At 38.3% G+C, this 23,594-nt stretch overlaps 1 long non-coding RNA gene across 7 annotated transcripts in view; it reads right to left on the reverse strand.

Annotated features, from left to right (window-relative positions):
• ARL14EP-DT (ARL14EP divergent transcript) overlaps positions 1 to 23,594 on the reverse strand; it is a 279,977-nt gene that overhangs the window by 101,030 nt on the left and 155,353 nt on the right. For 2 of the 7 annotated variants that reach the window (NR_187435.1, NR_187436.1), the window contains exon 4: positions 12,789 to 12,854. The exons of the other annotated variants lie outside the window; for them this stretch is intronic. This is a non-coding gene — a long non-coding RNA (ARL14EP divergent transcript). The remainder of the gene's footprint in view (positions 1 to 12,788; positions 12,855 to 23,594) is intronic. 7 annotated transcript variants of the gene reach the window in all.

The following is a 23,594-nucleotide window of genomic DNA, read 5'->3' on the forward strand; positions in this document are numbered from 1 at the left end:
TCCCTCTCCCCCAACTTCTTATTCTGACTCTCCTCATCCTAATAAATCAACTGGTTCCAATCTGACTGCTAGTGACAAGTCAGAGAGCTCTGGCTAGTCCTTTCCCAGAAGTTGCTGGAAGGCTATTCATGCTTCTGCTTGCTCCTTACAGAAAATCTATAGTAGTTGTTCTTCCCATGGGTCACCCAACACAGAAAAGAAAGCTGCAGCCAGCTGCAGACTCTCAACCAGGAAGAGTTTGCTCAGCTGGTCCTTCTTTACCTACATTTCCCTGTTATTCTTCTCTCACCTTCAAAGTTTTTTGTTTTTCTTCACCAAGACATCAGTCTGTTGCCCTCACAGCATGACATGGCTTTTTGCCTCTCTATCCTATACATATATGTCAGTAATGCCCTGTAGCTGGGCGAACAATAAAGAAGGACAAGGTTTTACTTCAATGCTGAGAAAAATAAGTATATGTCCCCTATTTTTCTGTAAACACTCATTCTTTGTTGGAGAAAGTGTCATCATTTAAAAAAAAAAAAAAAAAAAGAGCCTTCCTTCCTCCCTCATACTGGTTTGGTCCTCTCAGAGGTAGAAATAATATTTTCCTCAGCAAAGGTGATTTTCTTTCCATGAGGCCTATAGACAACCAAATTGATTTTTCAGGCCAAAACCATTTTAACGTCTATTTATCTTCTCAGGATGATGTCCCTCAGCAAGTCATTTTGTCATCTCTTTGGTGTGGGTTTTTTGTAACAGAGAAGATTGTAGGCCATCATACTTAAAAATAAATAAATAAATTCTATCTTTCTTCTTTGCTGAAAGCACTATTCAACCCAGCCTTTAAAACAGAAAATTCTAGATATTAGATAAAACACTGACATCTATGTTAAGGACAAAGTAAAATGTTGAGGGTTTTTTTTGTTTGTTTGTTTGTTTTTACTCTTCAGATTGGTTTTCCCCATTAGTTCTTTAAAAAAATGACTTTATAGGTAAAATTTAGCAAAGGTGAGAGGGGGATGTTGCAAAAAAAAAAAAGCTATATTAAGGATTAAATTTTCACACTTATTTTTCTCCCCATTGGTATATTGAGGAAGAGTCTTGTGACATGAATTTTAGTTTTTCAGTATAAAAATCAGTGAATACCCTGGTTAAAAAAGAAACCACAAAAAGTCTCCCTTCACCATTACCTCCAGACACTCTCTCTATATACAGCTTTATGTATATAAATATATACAGAATTCAAATCCTATTATCTTGCTTTTTCTATATATTTTGGAAATATTTTTATTGCAAGACTTATAAATCTATTTTTAGCTAGTCAGATATCATGAATTTTTACGCATATATCATGATTTATTTACCCAGACCCTGGCTGACATTTTTTCAGAAATTTTAGCAAATAGCAATTAGCAATTAAGCTTCAAAGAACATCCTTTAAAATATATCTTTGTATTTTTGAATTGGTAAATCTGCATGATATATTTGAAGATTAAAATTGTTTTTTGAGGTCGACATAATGAGGAGGATGGGAAAGATAGTGCAAAGTGTTTCAGTTGAGAGGTTTGCAAGTTAAATTAACAGTAGATGCTGAGCCCCTAATATATCTAGCCCAATCTTTAAAGAAGACCAATAGAAATAAAATCCATAATGCAGTGTCTTCTTTGAGCAGGCAATAACTTGGACCCAAGTTGCAAACCATCTCCTTAGCTGCATGATATCTTTTGCTAAGGAGACAGTTTGCAACTTGAGTCCAAGTTAATTGCCTGCTCAAACAAGACAGAGAATTAGCTTAAGTCTCCATCAACAAATGAATGGATAAAGAAAAGGTGGTGATATGTACACAATGGAATACTACTCAGCCTTAAAAAAGAAGAAAATATTGTCATTTGTGACAACATGACTGAACTTGGAGGACATTATGTTAAGTGAAATAAATCAGGCACAGAAATACAAATACCACATAATCTCAATTATACTTAGAAACTAAAATAAAGTTGAACTCATAGAAGTAAAGAGCAGTATGGTGGTGTTACCAGGGCCTGGGAGGAAGGGGTGGCAGTAGCTAAAGTTGGGGAGATGTTGCTCAAAGGATGCAAACTTTCAGTTAGCTAGGAATAAATTCAAGAGATCTACTGTACAACATGGTGACTGTAGTTAATAACAGTGTATTGTATTATTCAAAATTGCCAAAAGAGTAGATTTTAAGAGTTCTCACCACATAAGTATGTGAAGTGACATATACATTAATTAGCTCAATGTATCCATTCCACAATGTACACATATTTTTAAGTACATAATATATACAATTTTTGTCAACTAAATAAATAAAATGTTAAAAAATTAAGTCCTGAAGACAGTAAAATAATACCTTTAAAGTGCAGAAGGAAAGAAAAGGAAAAGGAAAGGGAAAAGAAAGGAGGAAAGAAAAGGTCATCTCCAAATAATTGATAATTAATAGAATTTTTCACCAGCAGATATGCCCTACAAGAAATGATAAAGGTACTTCATCAGGCAGGAAGAAAATGATGCCAGATGGAATCTCAGAGTTTTAAAGAAGGAATGAAAAGCACCAGAAATGCTAAATATTTTGGCAAACATAAAAAGACTATTTTTCTTCTTTTTTTTACTGACACAGATGTACATTTTTGGGAGTACATATGATAATTTAATACGTTCATATAATGTATAAAGATCGAATCAGGGTAACTGGGATATCCATCACCTTAAATACTTGTCTTTCTTTTATGCTAGAAACATTCAAATCATTCTCATCTATTTTGAAATGCACAATAGATTATTGCTAATATAATCACTTTACTGATCAATTGAATACTGTCTTATTTTTTCTAACCACATCTTGTTTTTTTTTATTTTTTATTTTTATTTTTATTTTGAGATGGAGTCTCTCTCTGTCTCCCAGGCTGGAGTGCAGTGGTGCAATCTTGCCTCACTGCAACCTCTGCCTCCCAGGTTCAAGCTATTCTCCTGCCTCAGCCTCCTGAGTAGCTGGACTACAGGTGTGTGCCACCTCAACTGGCTAATTTTTGTATTTTCAGTAGAGACCGGGTTTTACCATGTTGGCCAGGCTGGTCTCGATCTCCTAATCTCAAGGAATTGTCTCACCTCCGCCTCCCAAAGTGCTGGGATTACAGGTGTGAGCCACTGCACCCAGCCTAACTGTATATTTGTACCCATTAATCCAGTGGTCCCCAACCTTTTTGGCACAAGGGACTGCTTTGATATAGGCCAATTTTCCATTTTTCCACAGATGGGGGTGGGGGAAGGGATGTGGATGGTTTCAAGATGAAACTGTTCCACCTCAGATTACCAGGCATTAGTCAGATTCTCAGAAGGAGCACACAACCTAGATCCCTCGCATGCACAGTTCATAACAGGATTTGTGCTCCTGTGAGAATTTACTGTCGCAGCTGATCTGACATGAGGTTGAGCTCAGGGGGTAATGCTCGCTCATCCACTCATCTCCTGCTGTGCCGCTGGGTTCCTAACAGACCAGTACTGGTCCAGGACTTGGGGGTTAGGGACCCCTGCATTAATCACCCTCTTTTCCCCTCCTCCCCACTACCTTCCTGGCCTCTGATAACTACCAATCTACTCCTATCTTTGTGATATCCGCTTGTTTAGCTCCCACATATGAGTGAGAACACACAATATTTGTCTTTCTGTGCTTGACTTATTTCAATTAACATAATAACCTTCAACTCCATCCATGTTGCTGCAAATGACAGCATTTTATTACTTTTATGGCTGAATAATATTCTATTGTATAAAGATGCCACATTTTATTTATCCATTCATCTTCTGATGGACTCTTAGGTTGATTCCATATCTTGATTATGGTGAATAGTGGTAAAATAAACAGAAGAGTGCAGATAGCTCTTCGATATATTGATTTCCACTGTACTGGATAGATACCCAGTGGTAGAATTGCTGGATCATATGGTAGTTCTACTTGTTGTTTTTCGGGGAACTTCTGTATTGTTTTCCATAGTAGTTGTACTAATTTACATTCCTAACAACAGTGTGTGTGTTCCTAAGTAGAATGGTTGGAAGAAGTATTCATGCTAGAAGGCTCTGAATAACAATACTACTAATACAGAGGATACCAACCATAAAGTACTATAGGGCCAAGCAGGTGAAAATAATTCAGTGAAATAGCTCACATCCAAAAACAAAAAGAATTAAGGACCAGGGTAAATTGGAAGCATATGCCCCTTCTAAACAAGTACTGCTCAGCTATCACTGATGGCTTTCACACAGAAATGTAGCGCCATATTGCTGAGTCTCTGAATTTTTCAAGATCTCAGTTGTGACCTAATTACTTAGTTTTCAAAACACTCTGTGCCCCAAACAGATAATAACTGAGTGCTAAAGGCAGCCAGTGAACTGTCCATTTGTGACCCTTTTTCTAATATTTTTAGTACTCTCAGCTTGTCTTGGCAGAGAGGTCTTCTCAACAAATGTATGGCAAAAGCCACCCCAACCCGAGCTTTATTCTTAGCCTTTTAGAACCCAAGACTTGTGATTTCCATTGGTGCAGATACCTTGCAAATTCTTTCAGAAAAGAATGAATGACAAAAAGTGTGTCCAAATAGAATTCTACAAACTTACATTTTTCTTTTAAGATCTCTCATAGGTCTAGTTGGAGAAGGTCGAGTATTAAGAAATGATTCAGTGGGTAGTTAGCAGGGATGATTTCTGTGGCTGCATTGACATTATCATTGAAAAGCCTGGTAAGTCTTTCTAACCAATCTCATCCACATCTTAGCTCAGCCATCTGGGTCTCCCTTTCAGGATGCCCATTTGCTTGAGAGTAATGAATATCATGGTAATGACTTTCTCTGATAAACCAAATCAAAGCTAGATCATGCATTTTGGTCACATCCCAAGAATATATAGTACATTTGACAGGTTACCTACTATTCCTGCAGGCCTATCTTCCAGCTAAGTAATTGGATCACAGAATATTTGGGCCACAAGAATAGCATTTTCTAAAATGTTATATGGAATTCTAGACCCATGATGCTCTGTAGAAAAATGGAAGGACATTTTCTATTCATCTATTTTCAGGAAATATGGCAAGATATACTCTATATATACACACACATGTACAACACACAAACACATACAACTTCAACACCCCCATTTTAGAAATTTCTCAATGAAACTGAATTAAAAGGTATAAGGAGTTATAACACAGAATTTTGTGAACTTTGATTCAGTGTTTTCCAAATTTGTATAAACAAAAATACTTATTCATATATCTGCAGAAAATGCTTTTGAAATTATTGATTGGAACCAATAATATGATTTCCCCACAAATGTCAAGCTACATTTTATGGAAATAACATATATTGTGATTTATGTTAAAATATATTTTGAACAAGTTGATGTTTCTTCATTTTCCCTATTAAATATTCCCCAATTTAACATACAGTTCAATGTGAAACTCTGCAATATCATCATTCAACCAATTTATATAACATTTCATGTGTTACAGAGCATTTTCACAAATATTCCTTAATTTGACCCTTGCCACAAACCTCTCAGGCAAATATCTCCTTGTGTTTTGTTTGCTTATTTCAAAAAAACTGGGGAAACAAATGACTTGCCTAAAGTTACTCCGTGAATAAAGGTGAGATTGCAATTCTGCTGGCTCCTGGCACATTGATGCTTCAAAACTCTCACTAAGCTCTATAATATCACATGGCTCAGAGATGCTACATCCAGTATTGCTCTTCCAAACTTATGCATGAGCATGTAGTAATAAGAATGGCCTATATGGATAATAACAGGAATCAAACGTACTGGCTCATGCTTAGAAAAGAGGCCATTAGAAATTTGTGATGAGTATAAATTAGAAAGGCAAAGCAACATAACTCATTGTAGAGGTCCTTGACTCATATATAAGGAGCAAAGCTATTCATTGGTTTAAACATTTGTACTTGAAAATTACTGTGGTGGACAGGTTAGGAATATGAATAAGATATATTCCCTATCTTCAAGTAACTGGATAAGAAAAGTAGCCAACAGCTTTAAGACAAGGTGCATTATCTTAATCTCCCAAAGGAAATAGTCAAAGGAAAGAGAAAATGAGGCAGCTTGAGCAAGAAGGCTGAGAACTGATGGGAAAAATCATGAGTTTCAAATCTGGAGATGACTAGTGACCTTGGAGAGAGCAGGTATAGTAAAATGTTTGCCGTGGAAGTTGGCCACAAAGAGCTACTACATAACTATATACACCTAAGAACATGCACCTTGTTAGAAAGAAGGCTCAGTGTCCTAAGGAGAAATGGGCACTTAGATAAAGGATTTTTTGTAAAGCAAATTTACTTTTGTGCAGAAGGGTGTCTCCCATATGGCTGGTTGCTACTAGAGTACTTAGAACAAAGGAGAGTAGAAGTTTTTATTTTTAACGTGACTTTTGCCTTTGTGTCTTTTCCCCAGTGGTGGGGTTGGACTGTATAATTTAAACTAGACTTGACTGGCTAAACATTTAAGCTTTTTTAAATAAGGTAGACGTGTAATGGGAGAGAGGGGAAAGGAGGAAGGGGTCATCTGCAGCAAACTAGAGAGTCAGTCTATTTTTAAATAAGGAAAGGAATGTGAGCTGCTGTTGATAACGTCACTGTTGCTGTGGTATGCCTGGGCACGTAGTAAAGTCAGAAAGCAGTAAAGGAGAAGAAAGGTGGGGCAGTATTGGGAATTATGGGAATTAAAGAATAAAAGGTTGAGCAGGCTGTTTGAAGAGACATCTTGCTACATCTCACATACCTCCACTCAAACCCAAGTTTGCTTATTTATTTATTTATTTATTTTGAGACAGAATCTTGCTCTGTCACCCTGGCTGGAGAGCAGCAGCATGATCACAGCTCACTGCAGCCTCAACCTCTCAGGCTTAAGTGATCCCCCCACTTCAACCTCCCTACTAACTGGGACTACAGACACATGCCACCATGCCCAGCTAATTTTTTTTTTTTTGTATATTTTGTAGAGACAGGGTTTCACCATGTTGCCCAAGCTAATCTCGAACTCCTAAGCTCACGTGATCTGCCCACTTCAGCCTCCCAAAGTGCTGGGAGCCACTGCGCCTGGCATGAGCCACTATGCCTGGCTCCAACCCAAGTTTAGAATTTATTGTCATTTGGTCAGGAATCACTTAGTTTAGAAAAACCTCATGAACTACAACATTGCAATGTGTTAAATATGCTTGCATACCTTCCTTCTTTTCAACCTTACAGAGAGTAGTTAAATGCTCTATTCTTCCACATGCACATATCTTTGTTTCTGCTGCCTTTGAGCAGGAATTGAAGGATGCTCAGCTTGAGCAGCTTTTCCATAAGACATAGGGGTTTCCTGTAGCTGAACACAAAGGGCATTTACTCAGGCCAGTTCCATGTGTTAACCAGGCCAGGCTGAATGGAAGTCCCATAGCTCCTTAGCTGCAGGTATTCTCTATCTGGACTGACAGCTGGAAGAACGTATAGCTCTCGTGCTCTGGGATTTAGGGAGCTTCAAGCGCAGCCCTGAGGGAACCAGGGAAGACTGTAAACCCAGTTCTCTCTGCATCTATTCTTTGTCTTTGAGCCTGGCTCCCTGCTGGCCTTACATGTCCTCTCCAAGGGAAGTGACAACAATAGCAGCAACAGACTCTGTTTTCTGTACACTGGACATGGCTTGAATGTCTTATGAATTAATGTTCACCCAACCTCCATTAACTTTTCATTGGCTTCTTGAGATGGTCTATCTATTTCTGTCTAGTCCATTCCTACTCATCCTTTATAGTCCTTCTCAAATTACTCTTTCTATTTTGGAAAGATTTTCTGATTATTACAAGCCCACAAACAAACCTTCTCAGGGTACCACATTTCATTACCCAATGTTGTGATTATTTTCCAAATATTTTAGGCATGACCTTTGTCTTGTCATTAAAACCTAAGCTCCCTGAAAACAGTGGGTACAACCATGTACTGAAAGGTTTACATGCCAAGAATTGTACCAAGTTCTCATAACTGCCTTTGTGAGTGAATTATTCTGTTTTATATATGCTGAACCTGAAGTTCTGAGGCTCCCTATTTCACAAAGCAAGAAAATCACAGAGCCAGTACTTAAGGCAAGCTCGCTCTGGTTGCAAAACCCTTGCTCCATCACAGTGCTACACTGCCTTTTGTATTGGAAGTTATAGACCACGTTGTATGTGCTAATGCTTTGTGTTTCCTATGAGTTAGATATACCACCCCATTTCTGCGTGGGTTAGGGTGTGAAAATACTTTGTCAAGCAAAAAAGTGGAGTATCATCTGCTGAGCCCTGAAGGAGACATAGCAGCAAAAGACCCTGTGGAAAATAAAGCCATATAACATAACAGTCTGATCAATAAGGACAAAGGTTCTATATGGTAATGAAATTAGAGACTATATGAATGATAGGCACTTCTTTGCTCTGTGCCATCTCCTCAGTTTCAAAGAGTAGTGAATAGATGTGGCATATTTCAAACACTTCGAAGTTAGTGGTATCAATAAAAATTAGGGATGGCTAAAACATTTCTATTATTTCTAGAACTTAAGCTATCTTCACATGCAATTTCTTATTTTTATGATGTTTTATTATCTATTATATATGAAAAGTACCATTCAGCAAAGGAGATGGCATGTAGTCTTTGCCCTTAGAGAGGACATTGGGTAATGGCGGAGATATTTTAGGAAACATTTGCAATGGAGTATGATGAGTATGTCAAACATGTAATAAAATACAGTCATTAAAATGAAGAAAAAAGGAATCACCTCTCTTTAAATGAGCCAAAGGAGGCTTTTGGTGGTGTTCCATAAGTTGAGCTTTAAACAATTAAAGGGCTACCAGAATTTTCCAAGAATATTCAAAACAGAAGAAACGAAACAGGAAAGTCACCAGGACATAGAAAATCAGGGCATTCCTAGAGACATCTAAGTGGTCCCTTTCCTGTTGAATAAATACAAAAGGCCTGACATACAATAGTGAGGAATGAGGCAGAGATGTAGGTTAGGTCAAGCTGTCTACCATAAAGCTCCTAGGAAATATTTCTTAACCTGACTTGGAAAAATCCACTGAAGAACTTAAAAAAAAATGTGTGTTTGTTACTATAGCAAGCTTTCAAGAGAGGATATAAATTGAAAAAGCTCAGGTAGAAACACAGATTGTTCAATTAGATGTACTTAGGAAAAACGCAAGTTCAGCAGTTTTTGGAACACGGGAATATGTGCATATTTAGGTGGGATAACACGAAGAACTGCAAGAGCTGAAGATGCCACAGCCTTGGGATACAAACACTGACTCTAGAGGGTCAGGGGAGGGAGCTGAGCTTTGACTTTGCTGTTACTGGCTACAGCTACAACCAAGCAGCTGAATGCTGTTCATCATAAGTTCTTGCATTAATTTTCGCGTATTTATTAAGCCATGTGCCAGACCTTGTTTTAGGTTCTGGGAATACAATAGTGATCAGAAAAATTTCCCTGCCTCATGCATGGAACCCTCACTCTAGTAGGAAGAAAAAAAATAATACATATATAAGCAAGAATATAAGAAGATAAGTACCATGGAACAAAATCAAAAGAAATAATGGAGCGCAATGAAGAAAAATAAGTGCCATGGAGAAAAATAAAACATGGAAGGGGACTAGGAGTGGAAGTGAGTGAAATACAATTTACATAAAATGTTCAGGAAAGCCTTCTCCGATAAGATGGTGTTTGCATGGAGACCTACAGGAACTAAAAGAATGAGGTCAGGCATGGTGGCTCATGCCTGTAATTCCAACACTTCCTTCAATACATGCAGGCAAGATTGTTTGAGCCCAGGAGTTCAATACCAACCTGGGCAATATAGCAAGACCTCATCTCTATAGAAAACTTTAAAAAATAGCCAAGCGTGGTGGTGCATGCCTGCAGTCCCAGCTACTTGGAAAGCTGAAGTGAGCAGATAATTTCAGCCTGGGACGTGGAGGCTGCAGTGAGCTGTGATTGCATCATGGCACTCGAGCCTGAGTGATGGAGCAAGACTCTGTCTCAAAAAAAAAAAAAAAAAAAAGAATGAGCTGTGAAGCTATCTGGAGAAAGAACCTCATGTTTCATGTGTCTGAGAATCAGTTAGGAGGTCTGTGTGGCCCAGAAGGATGGGTGAAGAGGACAAGTGGTAAAGATGAGATCAAGAGGTGTTAAGACCAATGCAGATAGGACCTCAGAGGACAGGTGACCATACAGCCTGGTTTACCTGCCTCAGAACCTTCCCACTTACTGGGTTCTCCACCTACAGAGTTCATACCCCTGTCTTTCCATGGTAGCTCTGTCCATTTTCACACTGGTATAAAGAAGTACCCAAGACTGGGTGATTTATAAAGGAAAGAAGTTTAATTGGCCCACAGTTCCACATGGCTGGGGAGGCCTCAGGAAACTTACAATCATGGCTGAAGGTGAAGGGAAAGCAAGCACCTTCGTGCTGCCGACCTTAGTTGGCAGGAAAGAGAAGCACAAAGGAGGAACTTCCAAACACTAATTAATATGACAGATCTCGTGCAAACTCACTTACTGTTACAAGAATAGCATGGGGGAAACCATCTTCAAGATCCAATCACTTCTTTCCCTCAACACATGGGAATTACAAGTCCCTCCCTCAACACATGGGGACTACAGTTCAAGATGAGATTTAGGTGGGCACATAGAGCTAAACCATATCAAGCTCCTTCTTATCACTGAGGTATCAACTCAAGTGTCATCTGCTTAGGTGCCTCTCCTGACTGCTAAATCTAAAGTGCACCCTCCCCTTCCATAGCTCTCTGCCGTATTATTCAGTTTTATTTATAAAAATAAGAGATACCATGATAAGAGGTACCTGAAATAAACCAACATGTTTCTTGTCTGTCTCCCCTAACTACAGTGTAAATGCCAGTAAGTAGTGATCTTATCTGTCTTGCTTTCAGCTGTATGCCAGCCCCTAGATTAGTGCTCAGCACAGAAATGATACTCAATACATATTTGGTGAATAAAAGTATGAGTTGCATTTCTTCCAGCCTTTGTCCATCATCCTCAGAATAGGGCATCCTCACCTCACTCCTGCATTCCTTTAATATCTGCCTTAGCTGGCTTCCCTAACTCCAGTGCCTTGTTCTCCTGAGGAGCTTGATCACCACTTTTACCACATCACAATTCAGCAATTCTGTATCAGCCTATAATAACACCCTATTTCCAATCACAACAATTTTTTAGAATGTTTGGCATATCCCGACTTACTGTTCTTGTCCAACTCTACTTCTTCCTATTCCTACACAGACCCTTTCCTCTATGTAGGTCAGCATCTTTAGTCTCCTCCCAACTGCCACACTCATTACCTTCTCTACACTTAAGTGTCTATGGTGCTGTTTCCCAAGACTCTTCTCCGCTTGCTCAAATTGAACCCATCCTTCAAAGCCCAGGTCACGCCATCTCTTCTTTTGGGCTACTCCAAGCACTGCTGATGTCCCTTTACCATATAACTTAGCACAAGGATTGGAGCTCAGTTTTATAACATTTGTTAGTGTTTGCTTGGAATGTGGTGTTGAGAAAGATTCTAAGTCTCAGAGGGGAAAAGAATGTCATGATTGATTAGCAATGTCTGCCAGTAGGCCTACGGGGACAGAGAGACACTTACTTAGCTATTACTAATGGGTTTCTGGGCATCAGTCCATATAATCTCTTGTGAGTGTGGCAAATATGTTACATTATTTCCATCACCCAGTCTTTTCTTAGTACAGAGACATGGAATGACTTGAATCCTGAAGTTAGGAAAAGTTCTGAATAACTCCTCCAACCCCCTCCTAACTTCAAGTCAGAGCGCAACTGCACTGTCTTACCTGGCTTTATTTATGCACTTTTCAACTCCCTTCTCCCTGACAAAGGGAGAAATAGTTCTAGGTACCAGTTGTTGATTGCTCACTTTTTTTTACTCCCAAGCCTGCACTGCAAAAATATCCATTCCAGCTCTACTAGCAATTGCATTTGCCCCTTTCATACTCCAATACAGACATTCATTTTTGTCTAGTCGTTACCAAAATTGTCATCTAAATGGTAAATTTCCTGAGACTGAAGTATGTCTCTACATCCCACCCCAACTACAACACTTCGTACCCAGGATGCAACAGATCAAAGTAGTTGCTTACTATGGGTTGAACAAAAAGGAGAGGCACACTACTTTCTTAGGATTCTACATCTTATGAAGCATTTTCTCACGGCACAAAGGGGAGAAGATTCTGGAATATTCCACCACTCATAATTAACTAAACTTGCCATGTTTACAAAAGTCCTCCCCCATACACACACACTTTTAATAGGATGTCATTCAGATTTCTACTTTTTTATTTTTTTATTATTTATTTATTTATTTATTTTGAGACAGAATCTTGCTCTATAGCCCAGGCTGGAGTGCAGTGGCATGATCTCAGCTCATTGCAAGCTCCGCCTCCTGGATTCACACCATTCTCCTGCCTCAGCCTCCCGAGTAGCTGGGACTACAGGTGCCCGCCACCACGCCCGGCTAATTTTTTTGTATTTTTTTTTAGTAGAGATGGGGTTTCACCATGTTAGCCAGAATGGTCTCGATCTCCTGACCTCGTGATCCACCTGCCTTGGCCTCCCAAAGTGCTGGGATTACAGACTTGAGCCACCGCACCTGGCCCAGATTTCTAATAGCAACAATCACTTTAGTCTGAAGATTTTGTTAGAGTTAAAAGCCAGAAAAATAAATATTTGTCAAAGCAAGAAAATATCAGGAAATTTCCACATACCATTAGTTGACAATTCAGTTAGACCTGAGGCTCTTTATCCACCTGATTTTCTTTTTTCTTTTTAATCTGAAAAAAACGCAATATCCCAGTTTAACTTCATAACCTGGCTTTAATCCTGGACACTCACTTATCTCCCTGGATTCTAGCTCCCTCAGCTGTCAATGCAGGCAGTAGGGAGAGAGATACATTTACTGTTTCTTCCAGCTTTAAAGTTCATGATCCATCATCTAAATTGATATTTTAAGTATTGAATCCGCAAAATGAAATTATTTCAATTAATATTTAATACAGAAAGTATTTTGTGATGAAGGGCCTAGCTTGGATATTAAACATTTGGAGGAAGCATTTGGCTATTTTAGAGCCTGTAGTTTAATCAGCCTACCTACCTACACTTTTGGAAAACAGTCTATAACTACAGAATTAGGGAGATTGAATTTGATCACAATTCCAACTGCCACTTATAGTCTTTGCCAGAGCAAAGTGGCTTTTTACAATTTCGCTGTCTTCTCATTCCAAATGCAGTTTCAAAACCGGCAACGTCAGAGCTGCCACTGCAGTTGGAGATTTTTTTTATCAAATGAGCCAACCTTAAGTGTCCCCTCAGTCCCTCACTTCTTCATTTGCTCATTTAATTATTCTTACTTTCTGCCTCTGCCTTCTTCAGGTGCTTGTAATCAAAAAAGCCTGTATGGTTGCCCTGTTCTCTACCCAAATATTTCTCTATGTAATATACTTTCCTGAGCACTCAGGGCTCATGACCTCTTCCTATTGTAACAAGATGGCTTCCTTAATTGAAAGAAGTCTGGGATTCTCCAGCTTTCTCTTTTGAAAGATAAGCCAATCATATTACATTTTCATGAATGCATCACATCTTTGTCCTCTTGCAGTTTCCTCTGCCTGAAACAACACGTCTCCAACTGTTGGCATAGCTAAATTCTTATCTCTCACATTGCAACCCACATATTCCTATCTCCATGAGGCCTTTGCTGATCCCCACCTCTCCAACAACTGCCATACTCTATTATCTTCTTACATATTTCCAAAATAACTTTAACAATTACATCATGCTTGAAATCAGTTTTCAATATCTGTAATAAATCCTAGACTATAACTGTACAAGATCGGGGACTATGTATATCTTATTTATCAGCTCATCATGATCCAGAGAATCTAGAACTATGCCTGCTGCCAAGGGGTCCTCAGTAAATATAATATAAATGAATAAATGGAAGGTAGAAACGAGAGATAGAGAGGGGAAGAGATAGAGAATGGGTGGGTCTGACACCGTCTTAAGGTGTTACCTTCCCCTTGAGTTCTCTGGCTTTGATCACTCCTGCTATCACCAGCCACCATGATACTCCTAGAAATGGGAGGCAGGATGCTTTTGTGTGGAAAGACCACGGTTTAAATCCAAGTTCTTCCACTTACTAACTCTAGGATTTGAGCAAGTTACCTAGCCTGGCTAAACCTGATTCTTTATTTAGAATATACTTTGCAGGGTTGCTGTGAGGATAAAATGAGATCATGTCTAAAAAAGTACATGATGGTTGCTCAATAAATATTAATTACTTTCCATCTCCACTCTCCCCCACCTCCCACCCTAAGTGTGCTGCTATTCCTTTAACACTTTGGCTCAAGTGTGGACAAAAACATCTTCTCTTGGAACCACATCTGACACAGACTGGCACTTTACTAATTGCTAAGAGAAAAACAAAATATAATTAAATATAGAGAGCAGTGGCAGTATAAAAGCAGTATGGCTTCCTCCTGATAGAGTTTAGCTTCCAGTATAGCTACTATTTTTTCAGATTCAAAGGCCCTGCTGTATTCTAAATGAGATCCTAAAGGGAAAGAGATCCTATGGGGCAAACTATTTTCTTTCATTCACCTGTTCATTTATTCAGTAACTATTGTTTGCGTCCTAATTATCAGGGAATTAGTGCAGACCCCTAGTTTGTATAACATGTAGCATCTTAGACAGAAGGAAAAAAAACATCAGTCCAGAGACTGAAAAAAAACCATGCAGGAAAATGAGGGTAAAATTGTGTTCCTCACAGTAGGAAGGTAACGTTACCAGATCTTAGGGAGGCAAAAAAAAGCAAGAAACTCAGCTAAATTTGAAAAATAGCTAATTGCTGTATTTTTCTATAAAAGCTGAAATAAGGACATTTAAATATCCTGACAAAATCATTGTAAGATACAAGTCAAAATCATTACATACAGGACATGTCCAGTATACACAGAATACCTGGTTAACCTACCCCAAGAGGCAGAGCCCACAATTAAAGGCTAAGTTGTACACTTAACATGAGGTTTGAGAAGAGCCTTTGATCAAGCGAGGAGACTTCAATCATTGCCAGACATACCATATGCAGAGGGTGCCAAGGCTAGACTAGACAGAGGAGGACTGGGGAGAGCTGAGGATGGTAGGGAAGGGTGGTCCCAGGAGCTGGCAGGACCAAAACAGATTATAAGCCAGATGCAAAGAGAAGAAGAAACCCGCAAGACCAAGAAGGGGGTCAGAGAGCAGCTACCTGTGCAAAACCCGCAAGACCAAGAAGGGGGTCAGAGAGCAGCTACTTGTGCAAAAAGGTGCTATCAAACTACTTAGCAGCTGGTAAGCAGACACCAAGCAACTAGAATGGATACAGTCCTGGAGGCCCTTTGCCATGACAAGGAATAATTCTTAAGTTGCTGGACCTTGAAAAGGTTGAGGAGATCCTGGAGAGGGTCTGTGGTGGCCAGGGTGCACATGCATGGGGTCATTTAAGGAGCTAAGGGCAGAAATATAATATTTTCCCCTGGAAAATATGTATTTCAGTATTTTTAAAACAAGCATAGCAATTTTATCGTGTACCAGAAAATATGAGACCTGCCCCAGTCAGTTCTCAGAAGGGACAATCTACCCTCAAGGCTCAGAAACTGGCTCTGGCACTTATTCTGAGCCCTGCTGATTGTAGCCTGGAGTTTCTAACTGTTAAGCATTTGTGGAGGGTACTTGAGCTGACTTTCTAAAGGGCATCTAGTATCTTTTGCGGTTAGGGGAGAGGCTGGGTAGAAGCCAGAAAAATATACATTAAGCCTCTCTCACTTATCTCACATCTACCTTTCCATTTGGCAAGGATAAAATCAACATCTCCTCTCTTGGACTAAAAACTCCAAGAGGAAAGATACTGAGGCAAGTAAACATAACTATAATATCAGGTATAATATGGAAAACAGCATCACACAGGAAGAGTTTAAGTAATATTGGTGGTCATCTGTTTATTCAACATGCATTTGTTTTTAACATCCACCCTGTGACAGGCATTGTGCTTTGCCATGGGATAATAATTTAAAAAATATAATGCTAGCTCTCACTTAGTGAATGCTTCATTTGTACAATTCTATGCTGTGTACTTTATACACATGTCCTCCATTAATCTTTAAAACTTCTCTGCAAGAGTGTATCATTATGCCCATTTTACAGATGAGCTAGCTGAAATTCAGATAGTTTAAGTAACTGCCACAAAATGAACTGCTGGTAAGTGACAGAGTCAGGACTTGAACCCAGGTGTGTCTGACTACAAAAAAAAAAAATCTGTCTTAAAAGAACCTACCTTATAACAAAGGAGAAAAACTCATAAAGAAACAATAATAGTGTAGAGGGATGAGGGTTCTGATAGAGGGAAGTGCAGTGTACACAGGCGCCAAAAAGTGAGCATCTGGTCCAGTCTGGGGGTATCAAGAACAGTTTCTCAATACACCCTCAGAGAAGGTGACATTTGATCCGGTCCTTAGTCCCAGATGATTCTCAAATCATTCCAAAATAAATGGCAGCAACTATACACACTGACTAATTTCTTTAGATATACCAGAGGCAAAGCACTTAAGAAATGATTACATCATTGGAGAATTTCAACAAATTGACAACAAGACAGGGTAATAGGAAAAATATAAATCTCGATAAACAACTTAAAAGTGTAATGGGGCACATGGTGAGTCTCCCAATTATTATCATATATCCTGTCAGGGTGATTGATGCTACGGAACATAATTCTGCTGAAATACTATCTGTCTTGTCAAAAAGACAAGTTGTAGCTGCCATTGGGTAGCTGTGTGATGCCTGGCATCCCAAAGGAAAGAGAGTAGGTGCTAATTTGTAGGAATGGTAAGAATGGCATAAGCTTCTGAGAAATAAATAGTTACTAAATGAAGGACTCACCTTAGAACACTGCTTTGGGGTTCTGAGTGTTTATCCATCCAGCAGAAGAAGATAACCCTAAAAATAGATGGTGGAAGTGGTCAACTGTTTTCAGTAACTGCTTGGTGAAAGGACAGCAGAGCAGAGCAGTATGAGCACCAGGCAAAGTCTCAAAGACTGAACTTCTCATTCCAGATCTCCTACTAGATGGCACTGTGATCTTGGGCAATTGCCTTAACCTTCTGGATCTGTTCCTCCTCTCTAAAAAGAATCCAGTACCAGGGCTTCATTATCTGTAATATTCTTTCTATCTCTAAACTATAAGCTATTCAAGAGGCAGCATTCAGAATTAGTATTAGAAGAATCATTTACCTAAGAAAGAAACTAGGAAAACCCTTTGTTCTTTGCCTTGAGGTGGTCCATTTAGAGTAATAATTCCCTTTAGAAGACTATGTTTCATGACAAAGAATTGATTTTTTACCCTTTTCTCACAAACCAGAAAAGATTAATCAAGGCAAATGGCATCTTCTAGACTTTCCACCCGATTCCACATCCTTCAGTACTAAATGAAATTATGTAAATAATTTCACCACAGAACCTGGCTCTTAGTGGCTGCTCAATAAATATTATTTATTCCTGCTTTCTCTAAGGGTGTTGGGTATCTAATATTTACTGCATTGTTGAACTTGTCCATTTGAAGTAGATATTCTTTAGTCTCTGGTTAAAATTATAACTAGAGATACAGGGAATTTGTTCCTTACCAGAGATCTCCACTCAGCTAAAGAGATCTACTTTGCCAGTGACTCTTAGGTTGGCCAACATTGGCTTCCTACAAGACCCTCCAAAATTTCACTCCACATCTCTTTCTGAGTTCCAAAAATTTTGAGAAATAGAACCAAGAGTAAATCAGAAGTATTAAACATACCAAAAAGCATAAAATACGATCTATAAATAGAAGAAATGAAGAGAGGATAAAGGAAGCAGTTAAAGACTTTAAAAGTTATAAATATCAAAAAATTAAGGGAAAAAATAAACATAATAAGGAAATAAATGCGCTATATAAAAAAACACATGGAACTTTTAGAACTGCAAAATACACTTCTACAATGACAATTTTATTGGATGGGCTTATGATCAGATTAGATGTTGCATAAAAAGGGATCAGTAAATTTGAAACATAGCAATAGCAAAAAGCCAAACTATAGAGCAAAGAAGAAAAAAAAATTTTTAAAGCCATGGACTCAGTGACCTAGGGAACAATAGGAAGCTATCTACGACACATAAGTTGCATCTCTGAAGGGAGAAGGAGGAAGAAGTGTGGAAAAATAGGCAGAAAAAAAAAGTTTTGGGTAATAATACCTGAAATTTTTTCTAATTTGATAAACTATAAACCTATATATTAAAGAAACTCACTGAAACCCATGAAGGATATACCCCAAGAAAACCACACCAAGGTATGTCATAAATTAGCATAAGTTCAGCAAAGCCTACTGCAAATTAGTGATAAAGACATAATCTTAAAAGCAGTCAGAGGAAAAAAGACACATTATATTGAGAAGGAGAAAATATATAAGACTACAGTATTCTCTTCAGAACAATGGAAACAAAGAAGATAAAGTGCTGAAATAAAACAACCAATGAACAAATAATAAACTTGCTAACCTAAAATTCTATAACCAGCAAAAGAATCCTTCAAAAATTGAGTTAGGACTTTTTTTCAAAAAATTCTACTTTTGTTTTAGATTCAGAGGGTACATGTACAGGTTTATTATGTGGGTATACTGCATGATGCTGAGTTTGGGGGTATGTGGTATTATGATTATACACTGGTTTTCGTCCATGGTTTCCAGCTCATAACTCTCATAGCCCTTTTTACAATCTTTTATTATAAGTTTGGGTATGTTAAGTCTCAGGGGCAGGCCTCTGATCTGCCCTCCCTTCACCTGCCCCAAAGCAGGACTCTAACGTTCCTCTGCCTTTCTGATTGTGGATCTTAAGACCTTCTCATGAGAAGGTCCCATCCTACAGCCTGAGGAAAGAAATGCTTCCATAAAAACCCAAGAGGACAGGGTTCAGTGAGATTCTGGATAGCTGAACACATGGATGTTCCTGGAGGGTGGCACACCTAGGGAGGACATGGAAGCTCCACGCCCCTTCTTCCATACCTCACCTTATGCGTCTCTTTATTTGTGTCCTTTGCAATATCCTTTATGATAAACAGGTAAATGTCAGTGTTTCCTTGAGTTTTGTGAGCTGCTCCAGCAAATTAATTGAACCCAAAGAGGGAGCACCCCAACTTGAAGCCAGTCAGGCAGAAGTTCTAGAGACTTGTGACAGGGGTGCTGGGACAGAGGGATAGTCTTGGGGACTGAGCCCTCCACCTATGGGATCTGACACCATCTCTGGGTAGATAGTGTCAGAACTGAATTACAGGACACCCAGCTGGTGCCTGCTGTTTGGTGTGTGGGGAAAAATCCCGACACATGTGGTCACAGAAGTCTTCTATGTTGATGATTCTTATGGTATGGGAGTACAGGAAGAACACAGGTAGAGAGAGTTTTTCTCTAAACAGGGTACAATTGATCCCATCACCCAAGGAGTGAGAATAGTACACAGGTAGTTTTTCAACCTTTGCCTCCCTTCCTTTCTCCTCCATCTATTTGTCCCCAGTGTCTACTGTTCCCAACTTTATGGAGTTAGGTTATTTTTAATAAAGTTAAGGTTGAGAGAATGTATTGTTAGAAAATGTGCATGTCAAAGAATTTGAAAGGATGTTTATTAGGAACACAATATTATCATTATTTTATATCAGTAGGGAAATGACATAATGTGTTAAAAATGTAAATATATGGGTAAATAGAAATGATTTTTCTACATGTTTTATTTTAAAAATATATAATTGACTATTTAGAACAACGATAATAATGTAATGGGGGATTAGGACAATGTAGACGTAAAATAAATGACAATAACACAAAGATGGGGATGGAGAAAAATGGAAGTATACTGTGATAACAGTGGTCCCCAACCATTTTAGTACCAGGGACTGGTTTCATGGAAGACAATTTTTCCACAGACTGGGTAGTGGGGTGGGGGTGAAGGGCAGGATGGTTTGGGGATGATTCAAGTACATTTATTGTGCATTTTATTTCTATTATTATTACACTGTAATGTATAACGAAATTACAAATCATCATAATATAGAATCAGTGGGAGCCCTGTGCTTGTTTTCCTACAACTAGGCAGTCCCATGTGGGGGTAATGGGAGACAGTGACAGATCATCAGGCATTAGATTCTCATAAGGAGCATGCAACCTACATCCCTCACATGTGCAGCTCACAATAGGGTTTGCTCTCCCATAAGAATCTAATGCCACCACCGATCTGACAGGAGGCGGAGCTCAGATGGTAATGCTTGCTTGCCCATTATTCATCTCCTGCTGTGTGGCACAAAGATGGGGATGGAGAAAAATGGAAGTATACTGTTATAAGAGTGGTCCCCAACCATTTTGGTACCAGGGACTGGTAGACAATTTTTCCACAGACCAGGTGGTGGGGTGGGGGTGAGGGGCAGTCTCTACTAAAAATACAAAAAAAAAAAAATTACCCAGGCATGGTGGCGGGCACCTGTAATCCCAGCTACTGGGGAGGCTGAGGCAGGAGAATCACTTGAACCTGGGAGACGGAGGTTGCAGTTAGCAGAGATTGCGCCACTCCAGCCTGGGCAACAGAGTGAGACTCCTTCAAAAAAAAAAAAAAAGCCAATAGACTTAAAAAAAAGACTTTTCTTTCAATTTTTAAAAAATTTTCAATTGTTATTGAAAATTTCTGCATTACTCTCTCAGTAATTAATAGAGCAAGGAGGCAGAAAATGAGAAAGTATATAGAAGAGTCAAATAACACTATCAATCAAGTTAACTTAATTGATGTGTGTAAAACATTTCACCCCCCCCAAAGAGTGAAATGCACATTCTTCACAAGTGCATCCAAACACTTAATGAGATAATATTTTATAGGCTAAGCTATGAAATATGCCTCAACATTTTTAAGTTGACAGAAATTACATGAAGTATGTTTTTAAGACACAATGAAATTAAACAATCAAATCAACAATTTAAAAAATCTTTAAAATCTTCCAAAATTTGGAAATTAAGCTACCTGCCTCCAAATCAAATGATCCATGGGTCAAAGAAGAAAGCATGAGAAAAACAGAAAATATTTTTAATGGAAAGATAATAACAACTCAACATGAATTAAGATTTTGAGATGCATTTAAAGTGGCACTGAATGAAATTAGATGTGATTGTCCTTAAATGCTTATGTAATAAAATAAAATAGGCATAAAATAAATTATATAAGCTTTCACCTTAGGAAATTAGAAAGAGTAAATTAAACCCAATATAATTAAATAATATACATATACAATTTAAAAAGTGTATTTCATAATAAAAGTAGATATAATTTTATAACCATATTTGACACTACTTAGAAAAACTGGAAGGAGCTATATATTTTTTCAGAAATTACGTGTATAATTTGATTAATAAACACTATGTGCAATTTAATTATAAGTTCATTCTCTAGCTGTAAATAGATATTTATTTGTCCATATATGTCCATTTCTAATGGTTTGCTACATACTTGTAGCTTTAGTTTTGTTTACTAATCAACATTAATGATGTGCCTATTATGTGCAGCTTTTGCGAGATGCCAAAACCATGCATGTGTAAGTATCACTCATGCCTTCACATACAGTATATTACAATCCACCACAGAAACAGACAAGAAAACAAATTACTACAACACAGCAGGTGTATGACTAGGTGCCAAGGCAATCTGAGGAGAAGGGAATGACGAAGGCTCTCTTTCACTTGGCTCCCTTGCTTCAGGTACAGTTAGAGATAAGGCCGTGCCTGACATGGGGTCATGAAGCACAAAGTCTTTACATGCTGTTCCTTCTCTTTGAAGGCTTTGGCTCCATAGTAGGTATGAGGAGGAATGAATCAACAGCACATATAGGAGATTAAAGACAGAGTAATGATCTGTGGTTAAATTGGCAAGTAGGATTGGGATTAGGCAGGCCAATGGGGAAAGCAGCCTAAGGAAGGAATATGGTAAGGCCAGTGATGCAGATGGAGGCAGATTATAAAATTCCAATCTGATCTTTGGGAAATTTATTATTCATCTTTATGACCTACCATTCTCAACATGGCCAAAAGCAATGCATAGAAGGGATTCTGAGTTCACCAGATTAAAGACACCAAAGGAAAAGTTGCAGTCATGTTTAAACTAGCAAGGAAAGGAGAGGATGTGCTATTATATTGAATAGAATTCTGAAAGATTATCTATTTTAGCATTATTTTTCTTAATATATTGTGTTTAGGCAGGTCTAACAAGGTTTGATCATTTTATCTATTTAAAGACTTGCTCATTTAAGCAACGGTTAAACCCCAGAACATTTTAATACCCAATAAATCCATCAGATGTTAGGTACATGTGATTTTTATATGGTAAACTTGAGACTTGCCTCTGTCTGTATCATTCCTAGCCAAGCCAGTAGACTACAGGTCTCTGATTCTACAGGTATCAAGTGGGGATGCTTATTTTTGAAATTACTTATTTGAAGGACCTAAAAAAATTGAGACTCTCAGTGAAGAGCTTTTCACTATTGTTTTGTAGGGAGTCCAGGCATGCCAATTTTATTTCTTAAATAAAATTTATGTATATATTACAAGTAGGAATAGCAAGCAACTGATTTTATAGACCAGTTAATGTGGCCTTTAAAATATACTTTAAGTAATCAAATGTGAACAAAAGTATATGTCTATATTTTGGTTAAACTAAAAAACAAAAAAATGAATTATGCATAAAATGTATTTTAGTAAAATCAAAATAGTTATTAAAACTAAGAATGAAGGGGACACTTATAACAACATTTGCCTTGCTCCATACTAATTACTTTCATATTAAAATAATCCTCTTTGGCATTTTAATCCTTGAAAAAATCTCCACTTAATTATATGGGAAGTTCTGACCTGTAATGTGTTTCTCTTTTGCCAAAAAGCACTTGCTGAAGCTAAATATGATTGTGGAATTTGGGGAGCGCTAATTTCAGTTCAGTTTGGCTAGGCCAGTGTCTGTAATAGTTGCAGTGCTTTGGGTTTATAATTTTTTGCTTCCCAGCCCAGGATGTTTTGTTTCCTTTCCTGTTGCTGAAAAGCAATCTGAAGCAATAGCTTTGAGCTGACCAACATTACCATTGCAGTACAGAAGGAAGAGAGTTGCTTCTATATAAGCAGCAGCACCACTAGATGTATGGGCTACTGTTACACTCAGGTGGGAACTTTGCTTTGCTGCAAGTGAAGGTGCTAAGGGTCTGTACAAGGAAACATTCATAAGTCCCACTTTACCAATATTTTCTCCCTCCCAAATAACAGCCATGAGTCCCTTAGCCAACACTGTCTGCCTTGGGATTGAGGTTAATTACCATGATATCATTTAGATGTTTGGGTTTGGATTTGTTTTGGGTAAAACAAATTTGGGGCAGCCCAGATTGATGTGAATGAATGATTTAATGTGCCAACTCTGCATTTCAAAAGAGCATTTCCATGCTAGATTTACCT

Source organism: Homo sapiens, chromosome 11 (assembly GCF_000001405.40).
Source record: "Homo sapiens chromosome 11, GRCh38.p14 Primary Assembly".
Lineage (NCBI taxonomy): Eukaryota > Metazoa > Chordata > Mammalia > Primates > Hominidae > Homo > Homo sapiens.